The sequence below is a fragment of the Homo sapiens genome, chromosome 1 (assembly GCF_000001405.40).
Source record: "Homo sapiens chromosome 1, GRCh38.p14 Primary Assembly".
Classification (NCBI taxonomy): domain Eukaryota; kingdom Metazoa; phylum Chordata; class Mammalia; order Primates; family Hominidae; genus Homo; species Homo sapiens.
The window spans coordinates 40,242,644-40,262,099 of NC_000001.11; the positions used below are offsets into that span (position 1 = coordinate 40,242,644).

General features: G+C 44.3%; 2 protein-coding genes across 3 annotated transcripts in view, besides 4 other annotated features; both read left to right on the top strand.

The window, feature by feature from the left end:
- The first annotated feature begins 5,293 nt into the window (after positions 1 to 5,293).
- On the top strand, positions 5,294 to 9,041 carry TMCO2 (transmembrane and coiled-coil domains 2). Its single transcript, NM_001008740.4, has 2 exons — positions 5,294 to 5,587; positions 8,640 to 9,041. Exons 1-2 carry the CDS (start codon positions 5,351 to 5,353, stop codon positions 8,949 to 8,951), a joined length of 549 nt encoding a protein of 182 aa, NP_001008740.1. The 5' UTR covers positions 5,294 to 5,350; the 3' UTR covers positions 8,952 to 9,041.
- Positions 14,824 to 14,953: an enhancer, noted in NCBI's record as "active region_834". NCBI's record gives its function as "activates an Ori minimal core promoter by ATAC-STARR-seq in GM12878 lymphoblastoid cells {active_cell/tissue: GM12878}" and the evidence as "EXISTENCE:reporter gene assay evidence [ECO:0000049][PMID:35858748]".
- Positions 15,184 to 15,453: an enhancer, noted in NCBI's record as "active region_835". NCBI's record gives its function as "activates an Ori minimal core promoter by ATAC-STARR-seq in GM12878 lymphoblastoid cells {active_cell/tissue: GM12878}" and the evidence as "EXISTENCE:reporter gene assay evidence [ECO:0000049][PMID:35858748]".
- Positions 15,534 to 15,813: an enhancer, noted in NCBI's record as "active region_836". NCBI's record gives its function as "activates an Ori minimal core promoter by ATAC-STARR-seq in GM12878 lymphoblastoid cells {active_cell/tissue: GM12878}" and the evidence as "EXISTENCE:reporter gene assay evidence [ECO:0000049][PMID:35858748]".
- Positions 15,593 to 19,456, top strand: part of ZMPSTE24 (zinc metallopeptidase STE24) — a 35,945-nt gene continuing 32,081 nt past the window's right edge. For both annotated transcript variants that reach the window (NM_005857.5, XM_047427590.1), the window contains exons 1-2: positions 15,593 to 15,751; positions 18,196 to 18,342. In NM_005857.5, coding sequence (NP_005848.2) covers positions 15,629 to 15,751; positions 18,196 to 18,342 — 270 coding nt within the window. In that variant the 5' untranslated portion in view covers positions 15,593 to 15,628. The remainder of the gene's footprint in view (positions 15,752 to 18,195; positions 18,343 to 19,456) is intronic.
- Positions 15,904 to 16,003: an enhancer, noted in NCBI's record as "active region_837". NCBI's record gives its function as "activates an Ori minimal core promoter by ATAC-STARR-seq in GM12878 lymphoblastoid cells {active_cell/tissue: GM12878}" and the evidence as "EXISTENCE:reporter gene assay evidence [ECO:0000049][PMID:35858748]".

A 19,456-nucleotide genomic window follows, 5' to 3' on the forward strand; every position in this document is an offset into this window, starting at 1 on the left:
GAGAGATGGTTAGTCCAGAGTAAGAGAAAGCTACTAAGACTGAACTATATCCATTCAACCACACAGAACTTGTAGCCCCTGGAAGGACCAAGTGAGGCCATTCACAGTGGAACTAAACCTAGATTTTAAGAACCCAATTAGGCCGGGCGCGGTGGCTCATGCCTGTAATCCCAGCACTTTGGGAGGCTGAGGTGGGCGGATCATGAGGTCAGGAGATCAAGACCATCCTGGCTAAGACGGGGAAACCCCGTCTCTACTAAAAATACAAAAAATTAGCTGGGCATGATGGCACACGCCTGTAGTCTCAGCTACTTGGGAGGCTGAGGCAGGAGAATCGCTTGAACCCGTGAGGCGGATGTTGCAGTGAGCCGAGATCGCGGCATTGCACTCCAGCCCAGGTGACAGAGCGAGACTTGTCTCAAAAAAAGTAAAATAATTCAAGTATAAGCCTAAGTAGTTGATCCCAAGATCACTGTCTATCCCAGTTAGAGCAGCTTGCATCATTTGATCTTTATTAAAGACTTTTGGCTGGGCGCGATGGCTCGCACCTGTAATCCTGGCACTTTGGGAGGCTGAGGCGGGTAGGTAACCTGAGGTCAGGAGTTTGAGACCAGGCTGACCAACATGGAGAAACCCCGTCTCTACTAAAAATACAAAAATTAGCTGGGTGTGGTGGCAGATGCCTGTAATCCCAGCTACTCAGGAGGCTGAGGCAGGAGAATCGCTGTTGGACCCTGAAGGTGGAAGTTGGAGTGAGCTGAGATTGCACCATTGCACTCCAGCCTGGTCAACAAAGCAAGACTCCATTTCAAAAAAAAAAAAAAAAAAAGACTTTCCTGTTTAAACCAGCATGAGTGACTATACGATAATACAGGGCAAAGGGTTATTTTTTTAGCTTGTAGTAATCATTTTAACTTGATATCTCTGGAATTTGTCCCAACCCTGGCACAGACCTGAAAGCACTGACTTTGTTTTCAAAGCTTTTTCAATTCAAGAGTGCCTCCAAAATGGTGAGTAGGAATGAAGACTTCCAGACACTTCTATTCTTGCCTTTACCCAGAATTCTCTTGCTTCAGTGTTTTCCCCATTTTCATGAGCCCATGTGTGAAATAGGGTAAGGAACTGTGGAGGAGAAAGTTTTTTATTAGCCTTCCTCAGGGTATTCCATTCTCAATCTATCCTTTCTCAGTCCCAAAAGGCCTACTGAGCTGAACTGCCTAAGACATAATCATTCACCAAATATTTAAATACACACATTTAAAGAGATACAATTCCAGATGCAATGGGAGACAAAAAAAAAAAAAAGTTGTCAGGGCCATCAAGAAGCTTTCACAAGGTGAAGGGAGGGCTGGAGTATCTCAGAACATTGTTACTTAAAGTGTGGTAGTGGGCCAGCAGTATAGGTGTCACCTAGGAGATTGTTATTAATAAAAATGCATAAATTCAGGCCCTACTCCAGACCTACTGGACCAAAATGTGCGTGTTAGTAAGATCTCCAGGTGATTCTTAGGCACAGAAAAGTTCTAGAAGCACTGGCCTGGAAGTGGAAAGTACTGTGAGAATTCAGGGTAATTGTGCTTTTTAGCATTTTACATAAAATTATGTTGTTGAATTTTCATAATCCTATGAAGTAGGTGCTGTTACTATATTTGACAAAGAACGAGATGAAGTGTCTTGCCTGGCTGGCACAAATAGAGGTGGAGCCCAGTTTCCAATCTCTTCTGACTAGAAGAATGTCAGAGAGGGACATTTAGTGTAAAGGAATAACAGATGGAAAGTTGCAGGTGGTATTTGAAGTACCAAAAATACCACAGTTCTGTAATGTGAGTGTTGTTTGTGAAGGTGAATAGTGGGAAATACAATTTGAAGTGTAGGTGAAAGCCAGGTTATTCAACTCAAACTCCACAGTCATATGGTGCTGACATTTCTTCATTTGAGTATAGAGATGGGAAACGTGCATATTTTTTTCTGTGAATAACATGTAACCTACGAAAAAGGCAAGTTTTCTTTTCTGAAAGAAACTTACTCATTTTTGTTATTTTTTGAGGCGAGGTCTCATTAGGTTGCCCAGGCTGATCTTGAACTCCTGAGCCCAAGCAATCTTCCCACCCCAGCCTCCCAAAGTGCTGGAATTGCGGGCATGAACCGCTGCACCCGGCCAGAAACTTCTAAAACTCAGAAAAGTTGCTCCTCCTCACCTCCTACCCCAAGGTAAACTGTGATACCTCCTGGCTTTATACTACTGATTTTATACCCTATTATATAGAACTGTGTCTAGAGAGAGTGGCCTATCCCTCTGTGACCTTCTTGGTCTACTCCTGCAGGAGTGGCTTCTGTGACAGACTGCATTTGGAGGTTTGATTCACTCTGGGGAAGGTAACCAGGATAGGCAAGAGATTTAAAAATCTGTCAGCATGTATTTGACAGGTATAACCTGAAAAAAAAGACCAGAGGCGTAGGAAAGCTATCTAAATGGTTAAGAAGCCAAATATTTACAAAGCATATACCATCTGCTAGCCCCTGGGTGGTAGGTGTTGAACAAGACTCATTTCCTGCATCATAGAGATTTAAGAATCCAGTAAGGGACTGGGTGCGGTGACTCATGCCTGTAATCCCAGCACTTTGGGAGGCACAGGCAGGAGGATATTTGAGGTCAGGAGTTTGAGACCAGCCTGGCTAACATGGTGAAACCCTGTCTCTACTAAAAATACAAAAATTAGCCGCGCTGTAGTGGTGCATGCGCCTGTAATCCCAGATACTAGGGAGGCTGAGGCAGGAGAACCGCTTGAACCCAGGAGGCACAGGTTGCGGTGAGCCAAGATCAGGCCACTGCACTCCAGCCTGGGCAACAGAGTGAGACCCTGTGCCCCCAACCTCCCCACCCCCAACAAAAAAAATAATCCAGTAGGGAAGACAGACATTAAAACAGTACAAATAATAAAGTAAAAGTGCTTTTAAACAGGGGGGGTGGAGGGGCTTATGAGAAGGGGACCAAAAAAGGACAGCAAAAGCTTCATTGAGGATAATGTTTAAACTGAAACCTAAAGAATCAATAGAAGTTAGCCAGGCAATAATCTGTAGTCCCAGCTACTCGGGAGGCTGAGGTAGGAGGATCACTTGAGCCCAGGAGTTAGAGGCTGTACTGTGCAATAATCGCACCTGTGAATAGGCATTGACCTCCAAGCTGGGGGAGGAGGGGGAAGCTAGGCAAAGAACAAGAGTAATCCAATTATGTGCCAAAGCTTTGTGGTTCAACAGCTTGGTGTGTTGGTGACATTGATAAGACTACTATAGCTGGAGTTGAAAGAACAAATGGCAGAGGAAGAGAAGACTTGGTAGGTAAGCAGGGACCAGGCATTTTAGTGCCCTGTTAGCCATGTTACAGATTTTGGATTTTGTTTGAAAGACAATGAAGAACCTATAAGAATTTTTCAAAGGCGGACTGGGTGCTATTTCTCATGCCTGTAATCCCAGCACTTTAGGAGGGCAAGGTAGGAGGATCACCTGAGATCAGGAGTTCGAGACCAATCTGGCCAATATGGTGAAACCCCATTTCTACTAAAAATGCAGAGATCAGCCAGGCGTGGCACGTGCCTGTAGTCCCAGCCACTCAGGAGGCTGAGGCAGGAGAATCGCTTGAACCCAGGAGGCAGAGGTTGCAATGAGCTGAGATCGCACCACTGCACTCCAGCCTGGGCAACAGAGCGAGACCCTGTCTCAAAAAAAAAAAAAAAAAGAATTTACCAAAGGCTTGAAAGTAGGCATTGCCTAAGTCAGTAAGTCCTAATAGGGCATGATATGGAAGACTACTGAGTGGAAGTGACTGACAGATGAGTGGGTGGATGCCACTATTAAAGGTAAACTGAAGGCCGAGTGTGGTGGTTCACGCCTGTAATCCCAGCACTTTGGGAGGCCTAGGCGGGTGGATCACGAGGTCAGGAGTTCGAGACCAGCCTAACCAACATGGTAAAGCCCCGTCTCTACTAAAAATAAAAAAATTAGCCAGGCGTGGTGGCACATGCCTGTAATCCCAGCTACTCAGGAGGCTGAGCCAGGAGAATCGCTTGAACCCCAGAGGCAGAGGTTGCAGTGAGCCAAGATTGCGCCACTGCACTCCAGCCTGGGAGACAGGGCGAGACCAAAACCCCGCCTCAAAAAAAAAAAAAAAAAAAAAAAAAAAAAAAAAAAAAAGCCCTGTTTATATCCTACCTCCTTGCTGGGTGCAGTGGCTCATGCCTGTAATCTCTGCACTTTGGGAGGCCAGGGCAGGTGGATCACTTGAGGTCAGGCATTCTAGACCAGCCTGGCCAAAATGGTGAAACCCCATCTCTACTAAAAATACAAAAAATTAGCCAGGCGTGGTGGCGGGCGCCTGTAATCCCAGCTACTCAGGAGGCTGAGGCAGGAGAATCGCTTGAACCTAGGAGGCATAGGTTGCAGTGAGCTGAGATCGCACCACTGCACTCCAGCCTGGGCGACAGAGTGACACGCCAGCTCAAAAAAATAAAAATAAAAAATCCCATCTCCTCACATTTCCATTCAACCTCAATACAACTCAGTTTTTTTTATTATGTGAAAACAGCTGCAACAGCTGCTGTCCATTTGAATTGTTGGAAATGTAGATCTACACTAACCAAGAGAGAAGCCACTAGCCACAGGTGGCTATTTAACTTTTTTTTTTTTTTTTTTAGATGGAGTCTCGTTCTGTCACCAAGGCTGGAGCACAACATCAGCTCACTGCAACCTCTGCCTCCCAGGTTCAAGTGATTCTCCTGCTTCAGCCTCCCAAGTAGCTGGGACTACAGGTGTGCACCACCACGTCAGGCTAATTTTTGTATTTTTAGTAGAGACAAGATTTCACCATGTTGGCCAGGCTGGTCTCGAACTCCTGGGCTCAAGTGATCCACCTGCCTCAGCCTCCCAAAGTGCTGGGATTACAGGCGTGAGCCACCATGCCCAGCCAAATTTAGTTAAAATGTAAAATGCAATCTCTGCTGCACTATTCACATTTCAGGTAACTAGTGGTTACCATATTGGACATGGCAGATAAAGAACATTTTCATTATTGCAAAAAGTTGTACTGGACAGCACTATGCTAGAGCCAGAACTAGCCAAAGATCAGACAAAGCAATATGAATGAACTGAAAACCCAGGCCGGTGCCTGGTTGGTTTTGAGTAAGATTCATTGGTTGGGTGAGTGGGAAGCAAGCTGACCTTTGGAACAGTGACATCACAAAGCACAGCTCACAATGGCTCTGGAATACCTAGGCCTCCAGACTACTCCCCCTAACTCATATTTAGATTCCTGAAGCTTCTGCACATGTAGTTCCTAGAGCTGCTGCTTATTAAAATGTCAACATCTTCATCTTCTAGCTGGGACAACCTCTTAGAGTCTCTCTCTCTCAGCACAGTATGGAATTGGATACAAGCAAGTTTTTTGGGAGAGACTAGTGCACCTCAGCAAACAAGTTTGGGACTATTAGATAATCTTGCTCCAGCTGTGCAAATCATCTTGAGGATTTCTTTCTTGATTTTATTGGGAATAGGAATATATGCCTTATGGAAACGAAGTATTCAGTCAATTCAGGTTATACTCTTTTGTTACAAACATTTATATAGTTATAAATTGAAATTTGATTAGTTCTCTCCCATATTGCTGCCACCAGTTTTAAGATCATGCAGATGTGCAAAGGCGAACCTTTGTCTCTTAAGTTGGCAAAAACTAGGTTATCCTTGAAAATCTCCACCAATTAGGCTTTGGGCATAAAAATGCTTTTCTCACAATGGTCTTTGGCTTGTCTTCTGTAATAAAATAGACCAAACATGTTGGTAACCTGAAAAGACAGCCTTACCCTCAAAAATTTTTGATCACTTATTCATCTTTGAGTGCTACTATGTTTATACAATAGGCACCAAAGTAGCTAGGATCATGAGTATGGCCTTTCTTACTATGCCATTGTTCTGTAACTGATAAGGAGGCATATGTATTAAGTCATCACAATGTGTTCATTATTGTGTTTTGACAAGATAAGGCTCCATAAGTATATAGGAGCTCTTTGGGGAGTAGGAATTTAACTGGCTGGGATTGTGAGAGACAGGATTTTACATACTTCTGTGTAGTCACCAATAATAATAGTTGACATACAATATAGTTGAATGCTTTGAGAATCTCAAAAATTCCATGAAATGGATGGAGATTATTTTCACATGACAAGTGAAGAAACTGAGGTGCACTGAGGTTCAGTGGAAACTTAAGGTGACAGGCTTTTAAAACGGCTTTCTTAGAGTGACAAGTTTACTTGATAAATGCAGAGAGAAGTTGTTATTGGATCATTTTTTAGCATTCACTTATTTTCATATGTCACTATTGTTTAGTAATCATGGTCACGGGGCCTTTCTATTTTAAACCATCACAATCCTGCATAACAGTCAGGGAGAGATTATTTGCTCCATTTTGTAGATGAGAGAACTTGATTGCTACCCACCCAAGTTCACATAGTTTGTAAGAGCTGGCAAAATTGGAGTTTGAATCGAATTTTTAGGATTTGAAATTCAGTTCTTCTCCAAAATCTCATTTAATGCAAACCAACTGACCTAAATCTTGAACAGGAATGTGTGTGTGTGTGTGTGTGTGTGTGTGTGTGTGTGTGTGTGTGTGTACGCGCATGCGCATATATATGTGTATTGTGAGGATTAAAGAAGATATTGTATGTGTAAATCTTAGCACATATATTCAATAAGTGGTGCTACAGTGAAACCCCATCTCTACTTAAAATACAAAAATTAGCCGGGTGTGGTGGTGGCACGCGCCTGTAGTCCCAGCTACTCAGGAGGCTGAGGCAGAAGAATTGCTTGAACCCGGGAGGTGGAGGTTGCAGTGAGCCAAGATCGTGCCACTGCACTCCAGCCTGGGCGACAAAGACTGTGTCTCAAAAAAAAAAAAAGTGGTGCTAGTTGTTATAATAAGGAACAAGATGATTTTTTTTCTTATCCTAGCAAGAATCTGTCCTACTATACATATTCTTTTGTTATTTATTTATTTATTTTGAGATGAAGTCTTGCTCTTGTCCCCTAGTCTGGAGTGCAATGGTGCAATTTCGGCTCACTGCAACCTCTGCCTCCCAGGTTCAAGCAATTCTCCTGCCTCACCCTCCCGAGTAGCTGGGATTACAGGCGCATACCACCACACCCAGCTAATGTTTTGTATTTTAAGTAGAGACAGGGTTTCACCATGTTGGCCAGGCTGGTCTCGAACTCCTGACCTCAGGTGATCCGCCCACCTTGGCCTCCCAAAGTGCTGGGATTACAGGCATGAGCCACCGTGCCCAGCATATGCTTTATTTTTATTTTTTATTTTTTTTTTATGTTTTAGAGACAGTGTCTTGCTCTGTCGCCCAGGCTGGAGTGCAGTGGTGTCATCATAGCTCACTGCAGCCTCAAATTCCTGATCTCAGGTGATCCTCCTGCCTCAGCCTCCTGAGCAGTTGGAACCATAGGCATGCACCACCAGGCTTGGCTAATTTTAAAAATTTTTTTGTAGAGACAGGGTCTCGCTACGTTCACTATGTTGCTCAGGCTGGTCTTTAACTCCTGGCCTCATGCAATCCTCCCATCTCAGCCTCTCAAAGTGCTGGATGCAGTGGTCCACACCTATAATTTATTTTATATAAATAAAATATATATATATATACATTAATTTTTTTAAGAGACAGGGTCTGGCTATCTTGCCCAGGCTGAAGTGCAGTAGCCATTCACAGGTGCCATCATAGCACACTACTCCTGGGCTCAGGTGATCCTCCCACCTTACCCTCCCTAGTAGCTGGGACTATATGTGTGTGCCATTGTACCCAGATCTCTCCTAGTATATTTTAAAAACCTTTTCCATGACCAAGAAATCCAGTTTTTCAGACTACTATGTCCTAAAGTGTACTTGGAAGTGTGAATTTCTGGATTCCTGTCCTGGCTCTGCCACTTCCAATATATAACCTTGGACAATGACAGAGTTCAAACTAGAAGGTATATAGTTATCCAGTTGTGTTTTTTCTGCATAAATAGATCATGCAAAGGCAAAGTTACTTCCAGACATTCAGAAAATGGTTATCTATTATTACAATCTTGATTAAATGCAAATAATAATCCTGCCTGACCTGCCTACCTCTCCAGTTTGCAGTGAAAATCAAAAGATGAAATAGGTGTGAAAATATTTTGCTAAGGCCGGGCATGGTGGCTTACGCCTGTAATCCCAGCATTTTGGGAGGCCACGATGGGCGGATCACGAGGTCAGGAGATTGAGAACATCCTGGCTAACACGGTGAAACCTCGTCTCTATTAAAAATACAAAAAATTAGCCGGGCGTGGTGGTGGGCGCCTGTAGTCCCAACTACTCAGGAGGCTGAGGCAGGAGAATGGCGTGAACCTGGGAGGCGGAGCTTGTAGTAAGCTGAGATTGCGCCACAGCACTCCAGCCTGGGTGACAGAGTGAAACTCCATCTCAAAAAAAAAAAAAAAAAAAATTTGCTAAATGGGAGACTTGTTATTGGAATGAGGAATTATTGTTACTATTAGGTTTTTGTTTTGTTTTTCTCTTATAGATAGTAAACTGTAGCAACTAACACTCAACTTCTGTTGTTCCATTTTAGAAAACATTGTTGTTTGTAATCACACTCTACAAACTTTACAAGAAGGGCTCACATATTTTTGAGGCTTTGCTAGCCAACCCAGAAGGAAGTGGTCTCCGAATTCAAGACAATAATAATCTTTTCCTGTCCTTGGGTCTGCAAGAGAAAATTTTGAAAAAACTTAAGACAGTGGAAAACAAAATGAAGAACCTAGAAGGGATAATCGTTGCTCAAAAACCTGCCACGAAGAGGGATTGCTCCTCTGAGCCCTACTGCAGCTGCTCTGACTGCCAGAGTCCCTTGTCCACATCAGGGTTTACTTCCCCCATTTGAAATGTGATGGACTCCAATCTTTTCCAGGAAAGCACTGTTTCCCTCATGTGTGCAGTGGTGTATCAATAAAGATAGAGAACGCTATTGAAATTACCGTGCAAAGACTAGCTCTCTATTTAGTAGGGCTGAGCTTCTACTTGTATGGATGGTGGGGTATAGTGGGGTATAGTGGTAGTTAAAAATGTCTCTAGGATTGTGGTGTACACTCAGCAGGCTGGAGACCATAAGCTGCCATAGATGGGAGAGGATAGCTGGGCTGGAATCTAAGGCTGTAGGAAGAGAAGGGAGGGTGGTCAGGTACATGGCCTTGAGGTCCATGCTGACGAGGTTAGACTAAATATAATAAAAAGTAGGAAAGTGCTGTTTGAGGGCCCTGCAGTGGACTGTCCTTTAGAGGTAGGCTGACCCCTGTGCTGGTCTTTGGCCTAAAGGTATATATGCAGTCCAGGGGTCTCCTGCATTAATTACTCAAAAGTGGGCAAGGGTGGGAGTAGATACAGACTGACATAAAGGAGACTAATTTTATCCAACTTTTACTGATACCTACTCTATGCTAAGCATTGTGATAATCCCTAGGCATCTTTCCTGAGTGCTTCAGGAGCATTCAGTTTGGCTGGATGGACAAGTAATTTCAGATCAGGGAATTATAATACAGTGGGGTCATAACTTTTTTTTTTTTTTTTTTTTTTTTTGAGTCAGAGTCTCGCTTTGTAACCCAGGCTGGAATACAGTGGCAGGATCTCTTCTCACTGCAACCTCCGCCTCCTGGGTTCAAGTGATTCTACTGCCTCAGCCTCCCAAGTAGCTGGGATTACAGGTGTGCATCACCACGCCTTGCTAATTTTTGCATTGTTAGTAGAGACAGGGTTTCACCATGTTGGCCAGGCTGGTCTTGAACTCCTGGCCTCAAGTAATCCACCCACCCTGGCATAACCAAGTGCGGGGATTACAGGCATGAGCCACTGCACCTGGCCATAACATCTTGAACTGAAGAGAATTCTCCTTGGCAGGGAGGGAAGAATGTAGAGATTCCACTCAATGAGTATGTACCCTGAGAGAGAGAGATGGCCCGCCTGGGAGGTGGCAAAAAATGGTTCTCTCAGCAGGCCTCAGATTCCACCAACCTTATAGTGTGTGCATTTTTGCCCCAATAAATGAGATCATGGTCATCTGAAACACTGTGTAACTATCTGGCACCTAAATGAAATATTTCATACCCACAGAGGAGGTCTACAGAAAAAAAACATTTCATCTGGTATGCAGATAAAGTGATTTGTTGCCTTCCTGGAGAAAAACTGGCTATGCTGCTCAACAAGACACAATGTAAGGCTGGGTGCAGTGGCTCACGCCTGTAATCCCAGCACTTTGGGGGGCCAAGGCAGGAGGATTGCTTGAGTTCAGGAGTTCGAGACCCACCTGGGCAACATAGTGAGACCTTATCTCTACAAAAAATAAAAAAATTAGCTGGGTGTGGTGGTGCACACCTGCAGTCCCAGATACTCAGGGGGCTGAAGCAGGAGGGTCACTTGAGCCTAGGAGATTGCTGCAGCAAGCAGCCTGGATGGCAGAGTGAGACCCTGTCTTTAAAAAAAAAAATAGCAGTCTCCAAAGGGGCATCTTCCTAAGGGAAGGGTAATCTTGACCATTTGTAATTTCTGCCTGATCCACTGGAGTTAAAATGCCACCCCTGGATGAGACTTCACTGTATCGTGTACTAAATGCAAAAACAGGTGGGTGAATACAGGGTGGGGCCAGGAAAGGCTTTGCAAAGGAAGTGACATCGAGGTGTCCCATAAATGATTACATAGGCAGACAAAGAAATGGAAGATAATATTCCTGAGCGGGATCATCATGGAAGTATATTTTTATTTTTATTACTTTTTGAGACAGAGTTTCGCTCTTGTTGCCCAGGCTGGAGTGCAGTGGCGCGATCTCAGCTCACCGCAACCTCTGCCTCCCAGGTTCAAGCGATTGTGCTGCCTCAGCCTCCCGAGTAGGTGGGATTATAGGCGCCCGCCACCATGCCTGGCTAACTTTTTGTATTTTTAGTAGAGATGGGGTTTCACCATGTTGGCCCGGCTGGTCTGGAACTCCGGACCTCAGGTGATCCACCCGCCTTGGGCTGCCGGAGTGCTGGGATTACAGGCATGAGCCACTGCGCCCGGCCCAGAAGGATATATATATATGTATATTTTTTGAGACGGAGTCTCGCTCTGTTACCCAGGCTGGAGTGCAGTGGCGCAATCTTGTCTCGCTGCAACTTCAGCCTCCCGGGTTCATGCCATTCTCCTGCCTCAGCCTCCCAAGTAGCTGGGACTACAGGCACCCGCCACCACGCCTGGCTAATTTTTTGTATTTTTAGTAGAGACAGGGTTTCACCGTGTTAGCCAGGATGGTCTCGATCTCCTGACCTCATGATCCACCCGCCTCGGCCTCCCAAAGTGCTGGAATTACAGCCGTGAGCCACCGCGCCCGGCCAAAAAAGAAGAGTTTTGAAGAGTAGACTGATGTCAGGTAATGAAGGACCTCGAAGGTCATACCATATATACCATATATAGGTTGGGCTTTATACTATCATAAATGGACCATTACAGGGTTTTTGTTTTTGTTCTTTTTTAACAGGGAGTAACACAGAATTAGTAGCCTATATGAGAGACAGAACGTATGAGCTAGAAAGTAGAATGAGCTAGATGCAAAAGAAATAACAGCTGCTCTTGTAAGGGTACCCAGGCTGGAGTGCAGTGGTGTGATCTCCGCTCACTGCAACCTCCGCCTTCCGGGTTCAAGCGATTCTCCTGCCTCAGCCTCCAGATTATACGCGTCCACCACCATGCCTGGTTTTTTGTCTTTTGTTTTTTTTTTTGTATTTTTAGTAGAGATGGGGTTTCGCCATGTTGGCCAGGCTGGTTTCAAACTCCTGGCCTCAAGTGATCCACCCACCTCGGCCTCCCAAAATGCTAGGATTACGGGCGTAAGCCACTGCGCCCAGCCAAGGGGGATCATTCTTTTCTTGAGGCCAGAGCACTTATGGCCAGAGTTTCAATTAAGGGACCTTGAATGCTTGGTAAGCAGAGAATCAAGGCAAGATAGGGAAAAAGCTTGAGAGCAACTCTATGATTTAGGTTAGACAGGGTAGATGGACTACCCTACAGCAATGTCTATCACTCTAGGGATAATAATCTTTATCTTTCAAATTCAGTCATTTTATTTATTTTTATAGAGATGAAGTCTCACTGTGTTGCCTAGGCTGGTCTCGAACTCCTGCACTCAAGCAATTATCCCACCTTGGCCTCCCAAAGAACTGAGATTACAGGTGTGAGCCAGCACACCCTGCCAGTCTTTCTCCTTTAGCAAAATCCTGCCAACAGCCTGTTTTGAGGTTCCCATTTTTAGACTCCACACAGGCCAGCCCTTCTATTAGTACTGTCTTTCTGAAAAGAGAAACAAGTGATTATTCACTTTCCATAATTCACTAGTTCTCCACTGCCACCACATTAGTCTGCACTACCATCTCTCACCTGGATTCTTTTTTCTTTTTTTCTGATATCCTTGGCAACTGCTAAATCACCTGGATTCTTGAAATGGCCTCCTAACTGCACTCCCTCCTTCCATTCCCCATTAAATTTATTCTCCACGTTGTAATGAGAAGGATTGTCTGCTCAAAACTCTGCAATGCTCTGCTCAAAATCCTGCAATGGCTTATTCTTTCATTCTAAGTAAAAGTCTTTTAACTAAAAGACTGCATGATGGCATGGATCTGCACTCCCCCTCTTCCTTACTCTTTCCACAGCCTCTTGCCATTCCTCAGATATGATAAGCATTGGCCAATCTCAGGGCCTTTGCACTTGCTCTTCACTCTGACTGGCAATTTCCTCAGATATCCACACAGCTTGTTCTCTTACTTTTTTTGGGGGACTCAAATGCCAGTTAATCTGAGAAGGCTTCCTTGACCAACTTATGTAAAGCAGCATCCCTCACACCAACATGCTGTATTGCCTTTTTGCTGCTTTTTCTTCATAGCACTTATCACCACTTCCACTTTTACTATTAAATATTTGCTTATTATTTATCAAACACTGCATCCACCCCAGCTAAGAATGTAAGCTCCAGGAGAGGGGCTTTGGTTCACTGCTATATCCCTGGCACCTGGAAATGCGTCTGGCATTTCGCAGACATTCAGTATTTATTGAATGAATGAATTCCAGTCAGTCTTGGCTTTTTGACACCTCGGCCTCCTACTCTCCTATCTCTTCAGACACATGGTGACAGATCAATGCTATGATGCCCCTCTCCCAAGCAGTAGCTAACCTTTATTGGGCACTCAGGGCCATCTACATTGCTAGGAGCTTTACATGAATTTTCTCATTTGATCCTAACAGTATGAGAAAGTAAGTACATACTATGTTATTCTCATTTTACTGATGAGGATCTGATGCACAGATTAAAGAACGTGCTAATACATGGTGCGGCCGTGGCTGGCAATCAAGCAGCTTGACTCTAAACCTGTGCCCTTAGCCACAAAGCTTGGGTGGTAGAAGCTCCTGTGAGGCTTTGGACTCACAGACAGCTGAAGTCAAGAGTGAAGAGGGCATAGCAATGATGGCCTGAGGGAGAGAAAATTTTGAAAAAGTGTTTACCCCTTATATATTTAAGTTGGTATCTAACTGGTTCCATCATAAATTCAAATAGTTGCAATGGATGTAAATTCTTGCAAATTGTAAATACTGACATTTTAAGATAAAACTGTTAAATCACTCTTTATAATGTATCCAAGAGAATCTACATAACAACTGAATAACCACCATTATGCATTAAAACATACACTAATGAGCTCTTCAACATTGTTCTTTTATTATCTCTAACATATTTAGATTGTACTCTAACAAAAAATGTTATTCAAATATAGTACTTTGATGTTTGAACAACCTTTTCTTGATCACTTCTTCGCAATAAAAATATGACATATGTAGTAAACCTTAAAAAATTTCGTGTAACTTTATGGCTCTACGCTGGAATTCTTCTGAAGTGAGTAATCATCACAATCATCTTTAGTATATAATGGATCAAAATGACACGATTGCAAATATTGATAACACACAGTTATAAAAGGTGAAATTCTATTGGGAACACATCTCTTAGTGAGATAGATGGGGCTGACCCACCAATTAATTCATTTATCTGGATGAATAGTTCCTACTGGTAGATTAACAGGGTTCATTTTCAATTCTGTTGTTTTCACAGATACAAGTGCTGAGAAATGGTTTTACATAAATAGGTGAGAATGCTAGTAGTTTTGTTGTAAGCATGTCAATCAATCGTTTGGTTTCTTTCCGAGTTGCATGCCAAAAACCAAATAGTGTTCCTTCATCAGCTGACAATTCATGGGCCACCATTAATTTTGTTGAAAGCAAAGAACTGGAAACCATCTGACTTGAAAAGAATTTGTTATCCTGTTATTAGAGTCATTCACTTTCTCTAGTGACTTTTAATTATACTAATTACTCTCAGAGGCATTTAGGCAGGGTTGAGAAATTCAAGATATTAATTTCAACACATCTTTAGCATCACAATATCACAGTAATTTAAATATATTTTAGTTGTAGCTATTTAGCTCACTTTATTGTAAATAATAATTATGCTAATTAGCAACGATAGTATGTTTAACCAATTAATCATCAGATTAACTTTCGGTCAGAATAATGGACTTCAATTTTTAAGTCAAAGCAATGTACAGGCGTCCCAGTCACCATATTTCACTTCTGAATTCCAAGAGAGAAATGGCGTTGCGCCTTACTGACGCAAATATGTACCTAGATAAAGTAAGACGCTTTCATTTCAGGTATGTCTAACCCACGCTATCCTTGCTTTGTTCCAGGGCACTCTCGCAGGGAAAACGCCGCCTCTGACTACACTTGGGGTGGTTAAGACGAGATCTTCAAATGAAAATTCTCAACGCTACCGTCCACTCTCTCATACGCTTGAATTCCGAACACCCCAATACTGGCCAAAAGACTCCATTTCTCATGCTTGGTCTTGCTTTTGAGGTAGCTCTAACTCAGAGGCACGATTTTTAGAGCCTGGGAAGTCGGCTGCTGTTCAGTCCTTCCTAGCCTCCTCAGGCGGGAGCCGCGGCCCACTCAGTCAGTTGCGGCCCACTCAGTCAGTTCCGGCCCCAGCCCCGACTACCTGTCGCCTTGTTGGGGGAAGGAAGGCAGATACCGCAGCCCAGTCAGGGTAAGCCGCTGACCCAGAGGATGGAACTGCGGCTCTGGAGATTAGAAAGAGGAGGACTTCGCCGCGTTCACTAGCCCAGGAGGAAAGCCAGAACCCTAGGCCGGAACCCAGCGTCAAGACGTGGGGGAAGAATGTTGATGCAACACAGCTCAGCCGGGCCCGGAACTCGGCGTTTGGGTCCCCGCCCTCTTTGGGCCGGAAGTGAGGAAGGTGGGGCTGGGGCTTTTCCTGTAGAAACTAGGAGGGACTAGGGAGAGTCTGCAAGGGGAAGAGTGTGTCTGTGACACTGCCAGCAGCGCGCAGAGGGAGGGATGGGGGCGGGTATCGGCGTAGGGGCCCTCGGAAAGAACGGATATTGCTGTGACACCGCGGGGACGCTCTGAAGGGACGAGTGTCGGTGTGGCACCGGTGCACGCTGAAGGAGCCGGCGGAACCGGGTGGCCATGGGGATGTGGGCATCGCTGGACGCTTTGTGGGAGATGCCGGCCGAGAAGCGTATCTTCGGGGCCGTGCTGCTCTTTTCCTGGACAGTGTATCTTTGGGAGACCTTCCTAGCACAGCGGCAGGTGAGCCTAGACAGGGTCCAACCTGACCCCCATACCCGGCCAGCCCTGGAGTAGCCTTGGCTTCGACCCTGAGACTCTTGATTGCTTCGGTCCCCGCGCCAGTCTCGTCTTTGTGGTCCCTGCTGAGTCTCGTAACTTGGCCCGATGGCGGACTGTGGCTTTGAGGAGGGTCTTGGTGCGTCAAGGAAGTTTTCTGTAACGTTATCATGGGACCCAATCCCTTTAGGGCCTGGAGGAAGGCTTGGGCTCTTGTGCCCTCCCTGCAGCTTCCTTGGGATCCTTGGGCCCAGACTTGGCCTCCTTTATCTTTGGAATAAGCCTTTAAAAGGATTTAGACACCCAACTTCCTCATGACATTTATGTAATCATGCCTAACCATAGGATTTTGCAGTCCTTCCAAGAACTTGCACTCTTGTTTCTCCTTAAAGTGCATATATTGTTTCTGCTTGAAAAAACAAACAAACAAACAAAAAACTTATCGGGCCCGGCGTGGTGTCTCATGCCTGTAATCCCAGCACTTTGGGAGGCCGAGGCGGGCGGATCACCTGGGGTCAGGAGTTCGAGACCAGCCTGACCAACGTGGCGAAAACCCGTCTCTACTAAAAATAGAAAAATTAGCCGGGTGTGGTGGCGCGCACCTGTAGTCCCAGCTACTTGGGAGGCTGAGGCAGGAGAATCATTTGAACCCAGTAGGCGGAGGTTGCAGTGAGCTGAGATTGTGCCACTGCACTCCAGCCTGGGCGACAAGAGTGAAACTCAATCTCAAAATAAATAAATAAATGAAATTAAATGAAATATATTTCTCGTTTTTCATAAAATCAACATTATTTTAGTTTAAATATTAAAATGGTAAAATAAAAAGTGAAAGTTAACAATTTACCTGAGATAACCATGGTTTAGAGATCTGAACTTTTATTTATTTATTTTTAATCTTTATTTATTTATTTAATTTTAGAGTCTAGCTCTGTCACCAGGCTGGAGTACAGTGGCGTTATCTCGGCTCACTGCAAGAAACTAGGAGGGACGAGGGAGAGTCTGCAAGGGGAAGAGTGTGTCTGTGACACTGCCAGCAGCGCGCAGAGGGAGGGATGTTCAAATGATTCTCCTGCCTCAGCATCCCGAGTAGCTAGGATTACAGGCACGTGCCACCACGCCCAGCTAATTTTAGTATTTTTAGTAGAGACGGGGTTTCACCATCTTGGCCAGGATAGAATATTTATTGTATTTAGAGACAGGGGCTCACTCTGCCACCCAGACTGGAGCACAGTAGCATCATCATAGCTCAAGGCAGCCTCGAACTCGTGGGCTCAAACGACCCCTCCACCTCCACCTCAGCCTTCTGAGTTGCTAGGACCACAGGTGCGGATCACTGTGCCTGGCTAATTGTTTGATTTTTTTGTAGAGATGTTGCCCGGGGTGGTCTGGAGTTCCTGGACTCAAGTCATCTTGCCGCCTCCACCTCCCAAAGGGCTGGGATTACAGGCATGAGCCACCGTGCTCGATCTCCCCTCAGCTTTTATTGGCACACAACAATATATAGGGAAAGCATGTTGTAGTGGCCCATTATTTTGTTTGGTATCCATTCTCTGTATTACATTTCCTGGACTGAAATTACCCTTACCTTTTATAATTTAGTATAATGAGATAGTTGATCTTTCTCCTTTTTTTTTTTTTTTTTTTTTTTTAAGGAGATAGATTCTCTGTCACCCAGGGTGTAGTGCTGTGGCACAATATGGGCTTACTGCAACCTCTGCCTCCCAGGCTCAAGTGATCCTCCCACCTCAGCCCCCCAAATAGCTGGGACCACAGGTGCATACCACCACACTCTGCTAATTTTTGTATTTTTTGTAGAGACGGGATTTCACCACATTGCTCAGGCCAGTCTTGAACTCCTGGGCTCAAGGAATCCTTCTGCCCCTGTCTTCCAAACTGCTGGGATTACAGGCGTGACCCACCGTGCCCGGCTGAAAATTGGTCTTTTCTCACAGACCTGATATGTTTCCATCTGGTGATCCTCAAGTTTCTGGCATTTAGGACCAAATTTAATGAGCAGCCTCAGTATCTGTTCATACTCACAGTTAGCATGTGTGCTTCTCCTTTGCATGAATTTGTTTTCCGTATTATAGGAGGTATGTAATACCCAGAATGAGTAGTACATGTAACAAAGTTGTGATGTTAACAGCTTTGGTTTACATATACAAACTGAAGTGTGATGACAACCCTGATTATAGTTTTACCAGTCAGGTCACCTCAGGTTCTCTTGTTCTGCTTTTATTTTCCTGCATCAGTCGTTTCATGTACTTGATCAAGTGCAATATTTGTGTAGGTATAAAGCAAATTCAACAGATATAAGTGGCAAGCTATAAACCATTCGATGTTTGATCATAAATGACTATTGTAATAAACAACTATTTCACTAAAGTGTTTTCTTTAAAATATTTCAGAGAAGGATATATAAAACAACAACTCATGTACCACCGGAGTTAGGACAGATCATGGATTCTGAAACATTTGAGAAATCTCGACTCTATCAACTGGATAAAAGCACTTTCAGCTTCTGGTCAGGACTCTATTCAGAGACTGAAGGCACTGTGAGTAATTTACTTCTTGGAGAGACAGTCTGTCTGGTTGTTTTCATTTTCATATTTTTGTAACACAAAAGAGGGTACCACACTTACAAGTCCCAGAATGCTTTCTTAACCTTTGTTATTGATAGTAACGGCTGTGGAGCAAAAAAGACAGAAACATAACTGCTTAGTCAGTTGAAAACTATAGAATATGGGAACTATTACCCTGAAGCCAGGTAGGAAAAAGATCCTCTTCCATTAGGATCCAGCTGAGATGTCATGTCTTCTAAGCAACCATTTGAAACTCCCTGCCTGACGAATGTGGATAGGGTAGCATTCTATCATTATTCCTGTCAGAGTACTTATCTCATTATGTTGAATTTGCCTGGATTTTTTTTTTTTTCTTCTGGCACAGTCTTGCTCTGTCACCCAGGCTGAAGTACAGTGGCGTGATCTTGGCTCACTGCAACCTCTGCTTCCTAGGCGCAAATGATCCTCCCACCTCAGCCTCCCGAGTAGTTGGGACTACAGTTGCATGCCACCATACCGTCTCAGAGTGCTGGGATTATAGGCATGAGCCACACTGTACCTGGCCTGATTTGACTGTTTAATTGGCAGACTGGTAGTTCCTTAAAGAAATAGTTAAGTCTTGTTCATCATTTTATACCTAGTGCCTGGCATGTAATCAGCATATAGTTCCTATTTATTGAATGAAATAATGTGGGGTTTTTTTGTTGCTTTTTTTGTTTTGTTTTGTTTTTGTTTTTGAGCAGTGTCTTGCTCTGTCGCCCAGGCTGGAGTGCAGTCGCACGATCTTGGCTCACTGCAATCTCCACCTCCCGGGTTCAAGCGATTCTCCTACCTTAGGCTCCTGAGTAGCTGGGACTACAGGCGCGTGCCACCACACCTGGCTAATTTTTTGTATTTTTAGTAGAGACGGGGTTTCACCATGTTAGCCAGGATGGTCTCGATCTCTTGACCTCGTGATCTGCCTGCCTTGGCCTCCCAAAGTACTGGGATTACAGTCATGAGCCACTGTGCCCTGCCACTTTTATTTTTATCATCCTGATCATCATCATCATCATTTCTCTAGAACTTTTAGATCTACTAGTACCACTAAGAGAAAGATTCCTAAATT